Source organism: Homo sapiens, chromosome 12 (assembly GCF_000001405.40).
Source record: "Homo sapiens chromosome 12, GRCh38.p14 Primary Assembly".
NCBI lineage: Eukaryota > Metazoa > Chordata > Mammalia > Primates > Hominidae > Homo > Homo sapiens.
In genome coordinates, this window is record NC_000012.12 from 49,078,315 (window position 1) to 49,095,876 (window position 17,562).

The 17,562-nt window shown below is 50.7% G+C and overlaps 1 protein-coding gene and 1 long non-coding RNA gene across 6 annotated transcripts, besides 5 other annotated features; one reads left to right on the forward strand and one right to left on the reverse strand.

The window, feature by feature from the left end:
* Positions 8,342 to 16,487, reverse strand: DHH (desert hedgehog signaling molecule). 3 transcript variants are annotated; one of them, NM_021044.4, is made up of 3 exons: positions 15,896 to 16,487; positions 12,814 to 13,075; positions 8,342 to 12,170 (listed from the first exon to the last, which is right to left on the reverse strand). In NM_021044.4, the coding sequence occupies exons 1-3, from the start codon at positions 16,196 to 16,198 to the stop codon at positions 11,545 to 11,547; spliced, it is 1,191 nt and encodes a 396-aa protein (NP_066382.1). In that variant the 5' UTR covers positions 16,199 to 16,487; the 3' UTR covers positions 8,342 to 11,544. The 3 variants fall into 3 exon arrangements, with proteins under 3 accessions (NP_066382.1, XP_016874869.1, XP_016874870.1); XM_017019380.2 differs by lacking the exon at positions 15,896 to 16,487 and adding an exon at positions 13,982 to 14,602; XM_017019381.2 differs by lacking the exon at positions 15,896 to 16,487 and adding an exon at positions 13,177 to 13,780.
* Positions 9,828 to 9,897: an enhancer, noted in NCBI's record as "active region_6306". NCBI's record gives its function as "activates an Ori minimal core promoter by ATAC-STARR-seq in GM12878 lymphoblastoid cells {active_cell/tissue: GM12878}" and the evidence as "EXISTENCE:reporter gene assay evidence [ECO:0000049][PMID:35858748]".
* Positions 9,938 to 9,987: an enhancer, noted in NCBI's record as "active region_6307". NCBI's record gives its function as "activates an Ori minimal core promoter by ATAC-STARR-seq in GM12878 lymphoblastoid cells {active_cell/tissue: GM12878}" and the evidence as "EXISTENCE:reporter gene assay evidence [ECO:0000049][PMID:35858748]".
* Positions 13,319 to 13,501: a silencer, noted in NCBI's record as "fragment chr12:49485416-49485598 (GRCh37/hg19 assembly coordinates)". NCBI's record gives its function as "represses an EF-1alpha promoter that drives an FKBP-Casp9 reporter gene in an ReSE screen in K562 erythroleukemia cells {active_cell/tissue: K562}" and the evidence as "EXISTENCE:reporter gene assay evidence [ECO:0000049][PMID:32094911]".
* DHH-AS1 (DHH antisense RNA 1) lies at positions 13,766 to 17,430 on the forward strand. 3 transcript variants are annotated; one of them, XR_007063295.1, is made up of 4 exons: positions 13,780 to 14,028; positions 14,516 to 14,591; positions 15,808 to 15,874; positions 17,087 to 17,430. It is a non-coding gene; the product is annotated as a DHH antisense RNA 1 (long non-coding RNA). The 3 variants fall into 3 exon arrangements; XR_007063294.1 differs by lacking the exons at positions 15,808 to 15,874; positions 17,087 to 17,430 and having other exon boundaries at positions 13,766 to 13,858; positions 13,952 to 14,028; positions 14,516 to 14,602; XR_007063296.1 differs by lacking the exons at positions 13,780 to 14,028; positions 15,808 to 15,874; positions 17,087 to 17,430 and adding an exon at positions 14,935 to 15,104 and having other exon boundaries at positions 14,505 to 14,591.
* Positions 14,360 to 14,504: an enhancer, noted in NCBI's record as "145 bp enhancer 293 fragment used in the MPRA reporter construct; PK_construct_4093". NCBI's record gives its function as "activates an SV40 promoter by MPRA in K562 cells {active_cell/tissue: K562}" and the evidence as "EXISTENCE:reporter gene assay evidence [ECO:0000049][PMID:23512712]".
* Positions 14,424 to 14,441: a transcriptional cis regulatory region, noted in NCBI's record as "GATA motif; enhancer activity is reduced when this motif is scrambled". NCBI's record gives its function as "necessary for full MPRA enhancer 293 activity {active_cell/tissue: K562}" and the evidence as "EXISTENCE:site-directed mutagenesis evidence [ECO:0005528][PMID:23512712]".

The following is a 17,562-nucleotide window of genomic DNA, read 5'->3' on the forward strand; positions in this document are numbered from 1 at the left end:
AAGTTATTTTCAGGTGCTCCCTGTCATGGTCATGTTCTTTCTAATCTGAAGACCCTTCTCTAAAGACTCAGACATTAGAGTTCTGGTTCTTATTAACTCACATTTTCCATTTACCCCTCCAGATCTTCCTTTACCCTTCTTCATCCTGCATTTGCTCCTGGAAGGCTGACCTTTATAGACAGCAGTAATGCCCTCTGGCTTCCAGCTAGCTTTAGCTAATAGGAAGTGTTTGGCCACAGACTGGAAGATAGAGGAGAGAAGGTTGGAATGTTGATTCCCCTACTCCCTCTCTGCTGGGCCACTTCTTTTTTTTTTTTTTTTTTTTTGAGATGGAGTTTCGTTCTTGTTGCCCAGGCTGGAGTGCAGTGGCACGACCTCGGCTCACTGCAACCTCTGCCTCCCAGGTTCAAACAATTCTCCTGCCTCAGCCTCCTGAGTAACTGGGATTATAGGCAACCGCCACCATTACCAGCTAAAAGAGTGATCTTTTTAAAATGCAAATTTTGCCAGCGCGGTGGCTCACGCCTGTAATCCCAGCACTTTGGGAGGCCAAGGCGGCTGGATCATGAGGTCAGGAGATCGAGACCATCCTGGCCAACATGGTGAAACCCCCGTCTCTACTAAAAATACAAAAAACTAGCTGGGCGTGGTGGTGCATCCCTGTAATCCCAGCTACTCGGGAGGTTGAGGCACGAGAATCGCTTGAACCCAGGAGGAGGAGCTTGCAGTGAGCCAAGATTGCGCCACTGCACTCCTGGTGACAGAGCGAGACTCCATCTATAAATAAAATAAAATCCAAATTTGATCAGACTACTCCTCCAAGCTAAAACCTAATTAAATTAATTTATTCCACTAAAATGACTGCCTGTGTCTCTAGAAAGATATCAAAATCCTTAACATGGTACAATGCCTATTAGTATTTGCAGGGGCTTAATAAATATTTGTGGAAGGGAGAGAGTCAGGTTTGGATCTGGGAGGAACTGCCTTGTGCCTTCTTGTGTTGATTCACCTTGTTTAAATCTCAGAGCACCTCTTCATTTCCAACTCCATGGAAGTACCTAATGGTAGCCTCTGTTTACTCAAGACCACACAGCTGGTGAATAGGAACCAAGCAGAATATATAGCCCTATTGTTTTTAACTGTAGAATCACAGTTAAGTGAGAAGCAATCAGTTTAAAAGTGACAACCACTGGCATGATGTTTGATCCTCCCCAGACACCCCACCAATAGTTTCTAGGCCTTGGTACAATCTTTCAAAGATAAAGGAAATACTCCTCCCGTCTCAACAAAGAAGTCCCTTCATCTTTGGACAATTCTAAGTTATTGAAAATCAGACAATTTAAAGACTACTCCATCCTAGTCAATTTATTGAAATATATAGAGAGGGAAAGGGGGCAGAGAGAGCGAGAAACCTATATCCTCCTTTCTGTAGTGGTCCTAAGGTGCTTTGGGCCAGCTGCTTCCAAGAGAAGGAGAAGGTGGGTGACTTTGTCTTCAGCCTATTTAAGGAAGAGATCTGCAATATCTATTCTCAAAGATTCTGCAAGATACTATAGACTAGCCAGGGACTAGAACAAGGATGGGATGTGTGTGGAGGAAATGGGATTAATCCCAGATCAAATGTTGGGTAGAATCCCAGCTGCTGCAGCTGCTGGGGGCTTAACCAGCTGTTCCCTGGGCAGCTGCAATGTTCACCCCAGGCCTGGTTCTTAGGGTGACAGCTCTATCTCAGCTTGTGGCCTTCAGCTCCAAGCTAAGCCAAGGCACTGCTGAACGGATGGCTGGAAAGCAAAAGAGAATAGCAGAGAAGAAGTACCCAGTTCAAAGGACTTCTGTTTGGACATCATATGGTTTGAAATCAGACAACTGTGTTCTTAGGTTTTGCAGTCCCAAGGAGAGATGTTAAGACACCGTTTAGGTTTCTGAGAGAAGCAAAGCCAGGGCTGGTGGTATCACCTTCAATTCTGTTCAGTTCCTATTCTATCCTATCCTGCTCCAATTTCTCTACACTGCTCCCACCATCTGCTCCCATAACACACTCCGTGTGGGAGTGGGAGCATTTCCTTCTTGTGATTGAAACTAGAGCAAGGACATTCAAATGCTCAACCGAGGACCAATCTACACAGGGATAAGGGCTATCTAAAAAGTCCTATCCGACCAAGTGTGGTAGCTCACACCTGTAATCCCAACACTTTGGGATGCTGAGGCAGGTGGATCACCTGAGGTCAGGAGTTTGAGACCAGCCTGACCAACATGGTGAAACTCCGTCTCTACTAAAAATACAAAATTAGCCGGGCGTGATGGCACATGCCTGTAATCCCAGCTACTTGGGAGGCTGAGGCAGGAGAATTGCTTGAACCCAGGAGGCAGAGGTTGCAGTGAGCTGAGATCACGCCATTGCACTCCAGCCTGGGCAACAAGGGCAAAAAGACTCCATCGAAAAAAATAATAATAAATAAGTAGATAAATAAATAAATAAATAAGGCTTATCCAATTGCCAGTTTCCCCGAATAGCTGGGATTATAGGCGCTTGCCACCACGCCTAGCTAATTTTTGTATTTTTTCAGTAGAGACAGAGTTTCACCATGTTGGTCAGGCTGGTCTCAAACTCCCGACCTCCGTGACACGTCTGCCTCAGCTTCCCAAAGTGTTGGGATTACAGGAGTGAGCCACCGCACCCAACCATGTTTTTTTGTCTTTCGTTGTTGTTGTTGTTGTTGTTTTGTTTGTTTGTTTTGAGACAGAGTTTCGCTCTTGTTGCTCAGGCTGGAGTGCAATGGCACGATCTCAGCTCACCGCAAACTTCGCCTCTGGGTTCAAGCAATTCTCCTGCCTCAGCCTCCCGAATACCTGGGATTACAGGCATGTGCCACCGCACCCAGCGAATTTTGTACTTTTAGTAGAGAGGGGGTTTCTCCATGTTGGTCAGGCTGGTCTTGAACTTCCTACCTCAGGTGATCCGCCCACCTCGGCCTCCCAAAGTGCTGGGATTACAGGCATAAGCCACCATGCCCGGCCTCAGTTTCCCTTTTAAAATGCAAGTTTGATTATTCCTCTCAGCAGGATTATTCCCTTGCTTCAAATATTACAATTGCTTTTCATCTTTAGGACAATATTCAAAATCCTTAAAGCAGGCTGGGTGCACTACATCACACCTATAATCCCAGTGCTTTGGGAGGCCAAGGTGGGAGGATTGCTTCAGTCCAATAATTCAAGACCAGCTTAGGCAACATAGTGAGACCCCATCTCTACAAAAAGAAAAACAAAGTTAGTTCATGCCTGTAGTCCTAGCTACAAGTTATTCAGCAGGCTGAGGCAGGAGGGTGGCTTGAGCTCAGGCATTCCAGGCTTCAGTGAGCTATGGTGGCACCACTGCACTCCAGCCTGGGAAATACAAGACCCAGATCACCTCGCCCTCTAGCTACACTGAACTTGCTGATGCTCCTTTGATGCTCCTCAGATTCATCTTACTCTTGCTCCCCAAATCCAGCCTTTTGCACATGCTGTTCCCTCTTGCACAACTCACACTCATCTTTCAGGTCTCAGTCTAAATGTCACTTGTTACCACATTCAACAACCTCTAACCATTTATGCTTGTCTTGCCAGATGAACTATAAGAGCCATGGGGAGAAGGGATTGTGTCCCTGCCTGCCTCTATTGTCCTATCTCCATCACACAGCACAATAATAGACACATAGTAGGCACTCATGAAATCTTAATGAACTGAAAATAACCTCCTCTCAGGGAGATGCTTATTTGTATACATCCACCAAGTCACATAAAGAGACAACAACAATGACAATGTGCTAATTGGCCACAAAATTCCTTGCAGGGAAATAGACCCTGACCACCTTCTTTCCCGTGATAGCTGCCTCAGTCTTCCAACCAAAGAGGAAAGCTCCCTCCAATATTACACAGACCACAAAAGCACAGTCAAAAATAAACATGTAGGCAAGGCCTGGTGGCTCACGCCTGTAACCCCAACACTTTGGGAGGCCAAGGTGGGAGGATCACTTGAGCTCAAGAGCTTGAGACCAGCCTGGGCAACATAAGAAGACCCCATCCCTTTTTTTTTTTTTTTTTTTTTTGAGATGGAGTTTCGCTCTTGTTGCCCAGGTTGGAGTGCAATGGCACCATCTCGGCTCACCGCAACCTCCGCCTCCCGGGTTCAAGTGATTCTCCTGCCTCAGCTTCCTGAGTAGCCAGGATTACAGGCATGCACCACCATGCCTGGCTAATTTTGTATCTTTAGTAGAGACAGGGTTTCTCCATGTTGGTCAGGCTGGTCTGGAACTCCCGGCTTCAGGTGATCCGCCCGCCTTGACCTCCCAAAGTGCTGGGGTTACAGGCATGAGCCACCATGCCTATGCTTTTTTTAAAAAAAAATAGAATAAAATAAAATAAACGTGTAGGCCAGGTGCAGTGGCTCATGCCTGTAATCCCAGCACTTTGGGGGGCCAAAGTGGGAGAATCACTTGAGGCCAGGAGTTTGAGACCAACCATAAACAACATAGTGAGACCCTGTCTCTACGAAAAATACAAAAATTAGCCAGGTGTGGTGGCATGCACCTATAGTCCTAGCTACTCAGAAGGCTGAGGTGGGAGGATCATTTGAGCCCGGGAGGTCAAGGCTGCAGTGATCCATGACTGTGCCCCTGAACTCTAGCCTGGGCAACATAGTGAGACTCTTTCTCAACAAATAAATAGCTGGGTGCAGTGGCTCACACCTGTAATCCCAGCACTTTGGGAGTCTTAAGCAGGGGGATTGCTTGAGCCCAGGAATTCCAGACCAGCCTGGACAACATAGTGAGACCTCATCTCTACCAAAAAATCAAAAAATAAGGCAGGAGGATCTCTTAAGCCTGAGAGGTTGAGGCTGCAATGAGCCGTGATCATGCCACAGCACTCCCACCTGGGTGATGGGAATGAGACCCTGTCTCAAAATACATAAATAAATAAATAAATAATTTTTTCTGTTTTTCTTTTTTTTTTTTTTTTTTTTAAAGGCCCAGCGAGGTGGCTCACACCTGTAATTCCAGCACTTTGGGAGGCTGAGGTGGGCGGATTACTTGAGGTCAGGAGTTCAAGACCAGCCTGGCCAACATGGTGAAATGCAGTCTGTACTGGCCAGACGCGGTGGTTCACGCCTGTAATCCCAGCACTTTGGGAGGCCGAGTCGGGCGGATCACGAGGTCAGGAGATCCAGACCATCCTGGCTAACACGGTGAAACCACGTTTCTACTAAAAATACAATTAGCCGGGTGTGGTGGCGGGCCCCTGTAGTCCCAGCTACTAGGGAGGCTGAGGCAGGAGAATGGCGTGAACCTGGGAGGTGGAGCTTGCAGTGAGCGGAGATCACACCACTGCACTCCAGCCTGGGGGACAGGGCGAGACTCCGTCTCAAAAAAAAAAAAAAAAAGAAAGAAATGCAGTCTGTACTAAAAATATTAAAAAAAATTAGCGGAATGTGGTGGTGGGAGCCTGTAATCCCATCTACTTAAGAGGCTGAGGCAGGAGAATCACTTGAACCCAGAAGGCCGAGGTTGCAGTGAGCCTAGACCTTGCCACTGCACTCCAGCCTGGGCGATAGAGTGAGACTCCATCTCAAAAATAAATTAATAATTAATTAAATTAAATAACCATGTGAAGTTTCTAGGTCAGAAATACTCATTTTTCAGCCGGGTGCAGTGGCTCATGCCTGTAATCCCAGCGCTTTGGGAGACTGAGGTGGGCGGATCACGTGAGGTCAAGAGTTAGAGACCGGCCTGGCCAACATGGTGAAACCCCATCTCTACTAAAAGTACAAAAATTAGCTGGGCTTGGTGGCAGATGCCTGTAATCCCAGCTACTTGGGAGGCTGAGGTAGGAGAATCACTTGAACCTGGGAGGCGGAGGTTGCAGTGAGCTGAGATCGTGCCATTACACTCCAGCCTGGGTAACAAGAACGAAACTCCATCTCAAAAAAAAAAAAAGAAAGAAAGAAAGAAAGAAATGCTCATTTTTCAAGGACAGCTGATTACTTTCACTAAGGAGAGACCCTGTCTCAGCACTGGTCTCTTTCTACCTCAAATATTTCTGGAAGCTTGAACTAGTTTGCTAGAGCTAACATAACAAAATACCACAGACTGCGTGGCTTAAATAACAGAAATTTATTTTCTCACAGTTCTGGAGGCTAGAAGTCCAAGATCAAGGTTCTAGCTGATGTGCCTTCTGGAGAGGGCTCTCTTCCTGTCTTGTAGACAGCCACCTTCTCTCTATGTCCTCACATAGCCTTTCCTCAATGCATGTGCTAGAGCGAGTACTCGAGCACTCTGGTGTCTCTTCTTATAAGGGCACTAACCCTGTAGGATCAGGGCCCTACCCTTATGACCTCATTTAACCTTAATTACTTCCTTAGAGTCCCCTTCTCCAAATACAGACACAGTAGGGGTTAAGGCTTCAATATATGAATTTGAGCTGGGGGGAGGAGACACAAACATTCAGCCATAACAAAGTTCAATCTTCCCTCTCCTTCTCTAGTCCAAAAAGAGCTAAGGGTCTTCTTATGCTTTCTGTGTTGGTCTACCAGCCTGCCATAGATTCCTGCCAGAAACCTGTATCAATATATGTGTTTCCTTAACTGGATGGCTAGAGAGCTTTAGTTAGGGAGCCAATGAAAATGAGAGAGAAATAACTGTCAGAAAGCTGGGAGGACTTTATAGTGACTCAGTGAAGTAAATGAGAAAAAGTGAAAAACAGCTTAAGGTCCAACAAGGTGGGGCCCCATTCTTCAAGGTGGTCTTATTTCTTTTTTAAAAAAATTATTTATTTATTTGTTTATTTATTTTGAGCTCTTGCTCTGTTACCCAGGCTGTAGTGCAGTGGTGTCATCATAGCTCACTGCAACCTTGAACTCCTGGGCTCATGCGATCCTCCCATCTCAGCCCCCCAAATAGCTTGGACTACAGGCATGCACCACCACACCTGGCTAATTTTTTAAATTATTTTTTGCAAAGACAGGGTCTCATTATGTTGTCCAGCCTGATTTTTTCCTTTTTCTTTTTCTTTTTTTTTGAGATGGAGTCTCACTCCGTTACCCAGGCTGGAGTACAGTGGCGCAATCTCAGCTCACTGCAACCTCTGCCTCCCAGGTGCAAGTGATTCTCCTGCCTCAGCCTCCCATGTAGCTGGGATTACAGGCTCCCGCCACCACGCCTGGCTAATTTTGTATTTTTAGTAGAGACAGGGTTTCACCATGTTGGCCAGGCTGGTCTTGAACCCCTGACCTCAAGTGATCCTCCCACTTTGGCCTCCCAAAGTGCTGGGATTACAGGCATGCACCTGGCCTAAGTCTTATTTCTTGTTACTCCTGTTTCATTTTGCCACTTACTGGCTGTGGTAACTTAGCCACGTGATTTAAGCCTCTCTTTGTCTCAATTTCCTCTCCTGCAACACCATCTTAGATGGTGATTGTGAGGATTAAATGAAAATGCAGGTAAAGGCCGGGTGTGGTGGCTCACGCCTGTAATCCCAGTACTTTGGGAGGCTGAGGCGGGTGGATCACCTGAGGTCAGGAGTTTGAGACCAGCCTGGCCAACACAGCGAAACCCCGTCTCTACTAAAAATACAAAAAATTAGCCGGACATGGTGGCGAGCGCCTGTAATCCCAGCTACTCGGGAGGCTGAGGCAGGAAAATAACTTGAACCCGGAAGGCAGAGGTTGCAGTGAGCCGAGATCATGCCACTGCACTCCAGCCTGGGCAACAAGAATGAAACTCCGTCTCAAAAAAAGAAAAAAAGAAAGAAAGAAAGAAAAGAAAATGCAGGTAAAATATCAGAGCAGGGCCTGGCATATCTTAAATGCTCAGTAACCATTAGCTACATATTGTTAAACTTCCAGTCTTCTGCTCTAAATAAGTTGCACAGCTTCATCTCAGATTCCGAGTCCTTGCTCATGATGTTCCTTCTGCCTGGAATGCCCTTTCCAGTCTCCTCCGCCTACACATGCTTCAACATCCTAGTCAGGCCCTCCTTTCTCCACAAGGCCTTCTCTGTACTAATATGGCATTTACCACCGGTTCAGCTCATCCAAATTAAGTAACAATGTTAAATATTTTCTGTGTTTATGTATACTTCTCCAGGGAAGAAGCTGTTTCTTAACCTTTTGTGTTTTTCAGTGGGGAATACAGGGCTACACTGCAGATGTTCAGTAAATCCTGCTTGAAGAAAGGAAAGAAGGAATAAAAGACTGGATTCTGGGCAGATAAACAGGTCACTTGAAACTTTTCGGCAGTGGTTCTCAACTCTGATTTCTCAATATGCAGAGAGGTATTGCCAGGGTGATCACAAAATGCTTCATAAATTCTCAAAACAAGATTACTTTTAATTATACTTCTTCAGAAAAGTAGTTTCAGGCACTACCTGGAACCCCATTATGCTTTCACCTCCTTGACTACTGAGCTCAAGGGTCACAAAGGTGAGGGACATGAAGAGTCAACTTCTATATGTAAGGAAGTCTGGACTACTACAGAAATGCTGCTAGTATACCTCCAGCTTCTGAAAGTGCTGTGACAAAACCCCAGAAAGTTTGCACGACTGATGCTTTTAGTGGAGTGGTGAGGAAAGAAGTGATCGGAAGGCAGCAAAGTCAGTCAGAAGTGGCCAAAGAATAGAAAACATTTACTGAGCGCCTACTCCACATCCAGCACAATCCTTCTCAACCATCCTGTCACGGAGGTATCATTATCCCCAGATCTAGCTGGCTTCTAAGCCAAATCATCATCGCCTATTTTGTTGATGGTGAAAGGTGCTGCAATTGGGAGGTGTTGCATGGCCAAGTGAATATGCCCACCTGCTGCACCAAGATGGTGCGCATTGCCGCTTGAAGGCAAGTCATGGATTTTTTTTTTTTTTGAGAGTTAGGAGGGGCCTCAAAGGAATAAAGATAATAAAGGGAGGAAGTGAGGGTTGAGAGGTAAGCCTCAAGCCTAGAAAGTTACTTACAGGATGTAGTTTAAGGGAAACCAATGAGTTCTCCTTGTCCTGAAATATCTCCCTAGCTAACTTATTACAGTGCTAGGAATCATCACCATTATGATTTTATGGTTAAAGGTTAAAACTGTAAGATATATGTATTACTGCTGGGCACAGGGGCTCACACCTGTAATTCCAGCACTTTGTGGGGCAAAGGCGGGAGCCCAGGAGTTCAAGACCAGCCTGGGCAACGTAGCAAGACTCTGTCTCTACAGAAAATACAAACATTAGCCAGGCATAGCGGCATGCACCTGTAGTCCCAGCTACTTGAGAGGCTGAGGTGGGAGGATTGCTTGAGCCCAGGAGGTTGAAGCTACAGGGGACCAAGGTCACACCACTGCACTCCAGCGTGGGCAACAGAGCGAGATCCTGTCTCTTTAAAAAATACATGTATATATATATGCATTACCTGATTACCTGGGAAGGGCAGTAAAACCAAGGAGCCCATCAACATAGGACAACTAATTCATTTATCGGATTAGTCATCACCTGTGGTGACATGACAGGAAGGCACCAGATCTGATAAAAAGAGACAAGGGCAGGTTTAGAAAGTAGGAAAGGTCCACAGCTTGGGATGTGTTTCTGAGACCCGGAAAAACAAAGGTGGCAACAGAGCCTCAGTGTGGGTTGAGGGCAGCAGTGGGTGGAAGGACACCAAAGGTAAACTTGACCTGCTTCCAAATATTGCCTTTATCAAGCACTACCTGGAACCCTATTATGCTTTCACCTCCTTGACAATTGAACTCAAGGGTCATGAGGGTGAGGGACATGAGGCGGCAACTTTGATACATAAGGAAGTCTGGGCTACTACAGGTATACTAGTAGGGCATCTGCAGCTTCCAGGAACCACAGAGCTAAACTAGGCAGGAGTGATGTAAAAGTGCCATGGTTTGGAACGACTTGCCCAAGGAGAAGCAGGTGGACTCCTTGACAGCTCCTGATATGTGTGACTCAGCGCTGGCAGCTTAACAAGGCCCACCCATCATCTCTCCCTCCTGGGAGCGGGCTCCTTTGCGCAGGTCCAGTACACCCTTCCATGTCTGAGACCGCTTGCCTTCCGTTTCAGAGAACCATATGCATAGGCCTAGAATTCTCTTGAAGGCCACCAGAGGGCGGTGTATAGCAGGGACCCTGTGCGATGGGAGCGCACAGCGGCTACTGGCAAGGGCGAGCTCCGGGTGGTACCAACAACCCCCGACTATTTCCTCCTCCCCGCCTCACCTCCACCCAAGACACTTCCCTTCTGGAGCAGCCCAGCTTCCTCCAGAGCTTCCATTCCTAACTCAGGGGCACCTGCCTGCCTGGATTCCAGGTGTCTACTGCGTTGGAACCTAAAGGTTCCAAAAACACCCAGGCTAGGGAAGTAGAGCTGGTGATAATGGGAGAGGGAGGAGGAGGCGCTGAAGACCAAGCCAGTAGAAACAACAATCAGGGCCAGCGATCAGGAGGGGAGCTCGGGTTGTAATGCTGATATGCCCTTGTTTAGGGAATCTACTTCCCCCACATACACCCAGGCTGAATCCATTCTCTCTCTCTGAGCAGCCCTTCAGTAAGGAAATATTCCAGCCTCTTACTGTGCCCCCCTTCCTTTTTCAGGCCATGACTATGCGACGATTGCAAATTATTACCCAGGTTTCCCATGGATCATCAGTTGGCCCAGTGGCATATCAGAAAAAACATCCACCCCATCCAGGCCCTGCCACCAAGGTAGGATGGGGACCAGGACTACTGGCTAACAATAGGGGACTAGATGCTTTGAGTATCAGTACTCATAGGGGCCTGAGCCCCTGCTGGAGCCCCTATAAACAGAGAAGAGGTGTGCACAGTCTTTCCCACCTGGGACAACCCTGGACCCTTCAGCCGCAGGAGCGAAATGCTGGTCCTCTCTGGATGGGAGACGGAAACAGCAGCCTGGAAAAGGGTACGACTCTTGTGGGCTCTGTTGCTTATGGGTTGGGATGCCCCTTCTGAAGGGAGGAAAAGGGTCCCAAAGACCCTGCTGAGGAAGGAGGGGGAGCCGGAAGTAAGCTGTTAACTCAGGTTGGCCACCTTTATCCCCCTCTCTGGAGGTGAATCACCCTCTGAATGGAAGTGTTTTCCAGTAAGCTCCTGAAAGCCTTCCCTTTATTAGCCCACCTTGCAGGAAAACGTCAGATGTCAGACTGGCTGGCTGTGTCAGACAGTGTTAATGCCATGCCCCAGCCCCTCACCTTGGCAAGCTGGGCAAGGGAATCATTATATTACAATTTATAAATAAGAAATAAAATAAAATTATCGGGTGGGGCTGAAGCACTGGGGGAGAGGCTAAATAGTCCTCTTTAAGGAGTGCGCACCATCAGCCCTACCTACCTAGGACCCGGTATCACCTCCTCTCAGTACGAGGTTGCCCCTAAGCCAGGCATAGCCCCATTTTCTCCCTCCCCCTCCCTCTCCCTCCCTTCCAGTCGGCATCGTCTGCTGCCCACAGCCCCATATCTCAGCCAGCAGGCCCTCGTTTCCTCGGGCGCTTCGAGGTTTCTATGCCTGGGACGCTCAGCCCAGTAGCTCCTCCGCTAAGCGGTAGAGGAGCCGAGAGTACCAATGCATGCCAGTCGGCTGGACGGCCCCGCCGGGGAGCAGCGCCCCTAGCGCGTGCAGCAGTCTCAAGGGGGCAAAAGCGCGGTGCGCCCACTGGTGACTCTCCAGAACCGCGTAGCAAGAGGCCAGGACATCGTTCACCAGCAGCGTCCCGTGCGCGGTGAGCGGCGCGAACACGCCCACGGCTTCCTCCCGCGCCACACGGGCCACGCGCGCTGGCCGAAGCGCATCCCCGCCGGGCGCCAGCACCGAGTCCCCAGCGCGTAGCCGGCGCGCGAACACCGGTGCAAAGTCGCCTGGCGCGGGCGCCGGCCCTCGAGCGGCAAACACCAGGTGCCAGGGCGTGAGCAACAGTTTGCGTGGAGGCCACTCGGTCTCCACAGCCACAAATGAAGCCCGGCGCTGCAAGTCCCGGTCCAGGAAGAGCAGCACCGGCGTGGGCACCACCCGGCCTGACGCATCGGCCGCCAAAACCCAGTCTCCGCGGTGCAGTTCCCGCAGCCCTTTCCGCTCGCCGCTCCACAGGCGCACAGTTGCATTTCCCGGAAAGCAGCCGCCCGCCCGGACCGCCAGTGAGTTATCTGCAGGGAACAACCACAGGGAGGATTGAATCAAGACCAGCGGTTCCAGAACGATTCTCAAGGCCAGCGCAGATATCGCCAGTCATGGACAACACAATTTTCCGTTAATCTGACTGGCCCCAACCTGGGCAGAAAAGGAAGGGCGGTTTTTCTTTCTTTTCTTTTCCTTTTTCTTCTCTTTTCTATGTATGTATGTATGTATGTATGTATGTATGTATGTATGTATGTATTTTGAGATAGAATCTCGCTCTGTCGCCCAGTAGATGGAGTGCAGTGGCACCATCTCGGCTCACTGCAACTTCTACCTCCCGGGTTCAAGTGATTCTCGTGCCTCAGCCTCACGAGTAGCCGGGATTACAGGCATACACCACCACGCCCAACTAATTTTCGTATTTATAATAGAGACGGGATTTCACCATGTTGGCTAGGCTGATCTCGAACTCCTGACCTCAAGTGATCCGCCCTCCTTGGCCTCCCAAAGTGCTGGGATTAGAGGCGTGAGGCACCGCCTCGGCCTGGACGGGTGGTTTTCAACACTAAAGCCCGCTTGGTCTCCCCTAGGGTGGCAACAGTACTACTGCAGACTCAGTTTCCCGGAGGGAGCCCCCTTTGGGCGGATTTTACCACCCTCCTCCTACTGTACCAGCTTTGACCGACACGTGGACGTGGTTGCGGGACTCGTAGTAGACCCAGTCGAAGCCGGCTTCCACTGCGAGGCGCGCCAGCAACCCATACTTGTTGCGGTCGCGGTCAGACGTAGTGATGTCCAAAGCACGGCCTTCGTAGTGGAGTGAATCCTGAGCGTGGTGGCCGTCCTCGTCCCAGCCCTCAGTCACTCGTAGGCGCACTCCGGGCCACATGTTCATCACGGCAATGGCCAAAGCGTTCACCCGCTCCTTACAACGCTGGCGGGGAATAAAGGAGTCAGTCTCCCCACCACCACCCTTGGGGCAAAAGGGACCTGGATAGGAGGGTTGATTCTTTGTTATTCCGGCCCTACTCTTACCCCTCCCAGCTTTTGAGTGTCCTGGAGAAATGAGAATCTGAGTCGATGGTAGTCACCAATCTGCACTCTGTTCCCAGGACGTCGTTGGAGAACTGTGGGCTCACCTCTGAGGTTGAGAGGGGGTGCCCATACCTAGCTCCTTCCCCATTTTTAATGCCCGTCCCTCACCCCTATTGGTTCAGGGACAGCGGCTCAACCTGGGAGAAGGACAGAGTTAGGAGGGCGAATGGAAGCGTGGTCAGGGAGGGCCTGGTTGCTCCCGGAGAGCCCCTGTTTGAGCCTGGCCCCCGCCCCAGGCACCGGCTCCCCTCCCTCCGCCTGATTCATCTTTTGTTTCATTGCCTTCCCTGGCACCGGGCATCGCTTCCTTCCTTCCTTCCTCCTCCTCCTTTGGGCCCTTAGCATTAACCCCTTCGTGCTCTGGGTGCCCCCCAGAGAGGTGCCCAAGAGGAGCTGTGCGGGATCAAGGCTGCTGGAAAAAGGATTGGGGTGGCGGGGGTTGCGCGAAGTACAATGGCCATTATCCGGGATGACTTAACCGAGCGAGAATCCTGAGCCCAGGCCGGGAACGCGCTGGGAGAAGCGGACTCAGCAGCTCCGGCCACAAAGGCGCTTTTCAGCCGCCCCGGCTCAGGGAGAGGAAAGGGCAGAAAGCCGCGCCCCCAATCCCTGCTCCGTCCGGGTAGGTCCCCTCCCCCCGCGCGTCCAGTCTTCCCAGTTCCAGCTAAGGCTCTGCCAGTCCGGAGAGCCCCTATCTCTCCCATCTCTGCTCTAGATGCAGCCCAGAAGGGCGTGGGAGTAGCACCTGAGAATAACGGTCTCCTTGTGCGGATCTGGGGAGCCCCCTGCAGGGTGAGAGCGGAGAAGAGGAAAAGAAGCTGCGGCTGGAAGCCTGCACCTGGGGGAGTGAGACCACAGTTATCTTGGCCGCTCCAGCCTGGGAGCGGGAGACCTTGGCGCGCACCATAGCAGGGACACCGCGGGAGGAGGCGCAGAGGGACAGCTTCCTTTTTTTCTTTCCCCTCCGACCTCTCACCTCGGACTTGGTTTTCTCCTAACAGAAAGACACTTTTCCCCTCTCCTCTAGTCTCCTCCACCCCGCAGAGTTGGGGTTGGGTGGGGGGAAAACAGGAAAAGTGGTAGCTCCTTCCAACTTTGTCGTTTCGTCCCCTAAGGAGGCCCCGAGGCCCTGACCTGCGGGGGCAGCAGCCCAGTGCAGAGCCAACTCAATGGAGGCCTTTTGCAGCCAGGGTGTGGGAGATAAGTAAGACTGAGGGGGCTCCCAGGCCTGCCGGAGCCCCTCCTGAGCCTGTCCCTTGTTCTGCCCACTCTGCTGCAGGTGGCAACCAGAGGAAAGGGCCACAATGTTCCACGGCCAAGGAGGAAAGAAGGAATGCCCCTTTTCCCATCTCTAGGTAGGAGGAAGGCTTCAGGGCAGAAGCAAAAGGAATTATTTCTTCCCTGGACAGGTTTTCCTAACAAAGTAACCTGGAAAACTATGGCAATTAATCAGAGGAAATCCGTACCCCTCCCTCTCCCCCCACCTCCCCACTCCATACACAATTAGGTGGTGTAATGGAAAGTATATAGGGCTTAGAATCAGGAGTCCTGAATTCTAGTCCCAGCCATGCCACTTTAAATTGTGAGAGTTTAAATTGCTTTTCCTCCTGGGGGAAGTCCAGCTCTCAGATGTAAAATGAGGGTGGCAGTGGGGGTGGGGAGGGTTGGAGGAATGTCATCTCTCAAGTTTTCTTTCAGTTCTAACATTCAAGATCACTGGCCAGGCTGGATGAAGTGGCTCACACCTGTAATCCAGCACTTTGGGAGGCCGAGGTGGGAGGATCCCTTGAGCTCAGGAGTTCAAGACTAGCCTAGGCAACATGGCAAGACCCCGTCTCTACAAAAAATAAAAAATAAATCACTCGCCAGAGGTGGTCCTTCTCTTCCACCTCACTCTAGGTGGTTCCAATGCTCAAAAATGGTAGTTGAATTTATCCTAATTATGTAATTCCAAGGAAAGCCCCTGAGATAGGCAGAGCTTGGAAGACTTAGGAGCCCTCTGATTCTCAGGTGGGTCCATCTGTTATTCTCACTGAGGATTACTTTTTAACCCCAAGATTATCGTTTAGACCCTAGGATAGCCCTAGAATAGACCCTAGAATAGATGTGTCCTGGTTCTAGGACACGTTTCCCATGCCAAAAGCAATGTCTGCCCAGCCCCTCCTCAGGTAGATGGTCTGGTGACCTGACCCTTGGCCACCCCTGTCCCAGCCCTTTTCAGTCTCTTCTTTTCGGCCCACAGAGCTTTTCTACAATCAGGTCAGGAGCCAGGCTTCTGTCTGCTACCTAGCCAGCTCCTGGCCCCCAGCTCACCCCAGCCCTTCCTGCCTGGCTGGGTGGCTGACCCCCGGTCCACGCCTCAGCCATTTCCCGTCTCGCCTGCCGCCATCCTCCTTTCCCCGCCCTCGCTGCCTCTACCAGCTTCACTCTCACTAGTCAGTCCCTCCTCCCCTCCCCATCCCAGACTATTCTAGTCGGGAGCCGTCCTAATTACTCTGTCCAGACTGCAAGGATTTTTCCCCCCCCTGGGGCTGGTGACAAGGGAAATCTCTAAGGCTAAACTCTCTGTAGGTGAAGCTGGACTCACCCACCTGGGCTGCCATAGGAAAACGGAGGAGCTGGCAGTGCCCCGGCGCAGGTAGGGAGAGGCCCTCCTTACCTCGGTCATCAGGCGGTCGGCTCCACTGTTCTCCTCATCCTTGAAGATGATGTCGGGGTTGTAGTTGGGCACGAGGTCCCGGAAGCGCTCGGAGCCCCTTGCCACCCTCCCCTCCGCTGGCCCACTGGCGCCCAGGGTCCGCTCTGGCACGCCGGGCACAAATTGCTTGTAGAGTAGCGGCACGAGCTGCTTGCGCGCATAGCGGCGCCGGCCAACCGGCCCCCGGCCCGGCCCGCAGCTCTGGGCTGGCAGCGCCAGAAGTGCCAAGCAGCACAGGGGCAGTAGATTGGTCAGGAGAGCCATGGATACAGCGGACCTCGGCCAAAAGGGAGCGTTCTTGTCCTCACTAACTCTCCTGTCAGTTAGGCATCTCCACAGGCACCAGAGAGGGCAGCAGGCACAGCTGCCCCCAGAGTGCCCTAGAGCTCTTGTGGCTCCGTGCACCTGGCTGCTGCTAGCTCTGCCCACGTGCCCCGGGAGCGGGCGGGGGGTGTCTAGGACCTGCTACTGACAAACCATCATAGCAGGGAAGGGGGGTCGTGGGTGAGTGCCAGCCCAGCCCGTCTCTGCTGCAGGACTCTGGTGCTGCCAGAACGCCCGGACTCCGGACTCCGCCTTAAGTGGCCCCTGGCCCCGCCCTCCGCCCTTCTCCCAAGACCGTCCCACCCCCTCCCACCCGGGCGGGGGATCTAGCCGGTCACTGCTGGTCCATTTTGCGACTGAAGTGTGTCCCATCCTGGAAACCAGGCAGACACCTGCCTAGGAAATACTTGTAGCTTTACAGTCCTTGGCTGCCTAAACATCCTTCTACCTCCAAGCTTAAACTTGGAACCAAACCACCCTCCTCTGATACTTGAATTGGAATTTTTACTCTCTCAAAGCCTACCCTGGCAGGCCATGCCCTCCGCTGTCATCCAGGAAGTATGGGTTCCAATTTCTGCCCAAGACCAGCCAAGCCCTTTGGGCATACAACCAGAGCCTCCCTTCTCTGTAGTCCTCCCCAGATCTCCCCGACTTCCATCTCTCCTCACATTCAGCATTAAGCAGGACTGGGAGGTGAGGATACCAGGGGCCCATTTCTCTACTAACTTTGCAGTCTCCTTTGGAACTTCCCCAGAACCAGGAACAGAGCTTGGTACTTATTGTCTCATTTAGGACTTCCAACTTTTTTCCCCTTCTCTTCTTTGCCAGGCATCTAATAGCTGCTGTTTTTCAAATGAATGACTTCTCAGTTGGAAGCTGCTGAAGGGCAGTGGACACTCAAAAGTCTTTGTAAGAGGTGAGGATCACTTCCCTTAACCGTCCATCTAGGCACCTCTCCAGCTTTCTCCCTCTCTGGACTCCCGGGGCTCCATTTTCAGCCACTCAGATCTCATCTCAGAGGCACCACGTCCAATTTCTTTTGTTTAGAAGTCATTTCTTCTAAGAAGCCTTCCTTGATGTCCCAACACTGCCCACCTGTGTTCCCTCGAGAACCATTACTTAACTGCAGTGTTAGAACAGTATTAGAATTATCTGGCACCTTACTAGACAAAGCAATCTTAAGCACACACATATTTATCATGTATCTCCAAGGTTAAGTGCCTACTCTACAGAAGGGTGCTTTGCAAGCATTTGTGGAATCTACACTTTGTGTTTCATATTCACCCTCCCCTCACCACACTCTA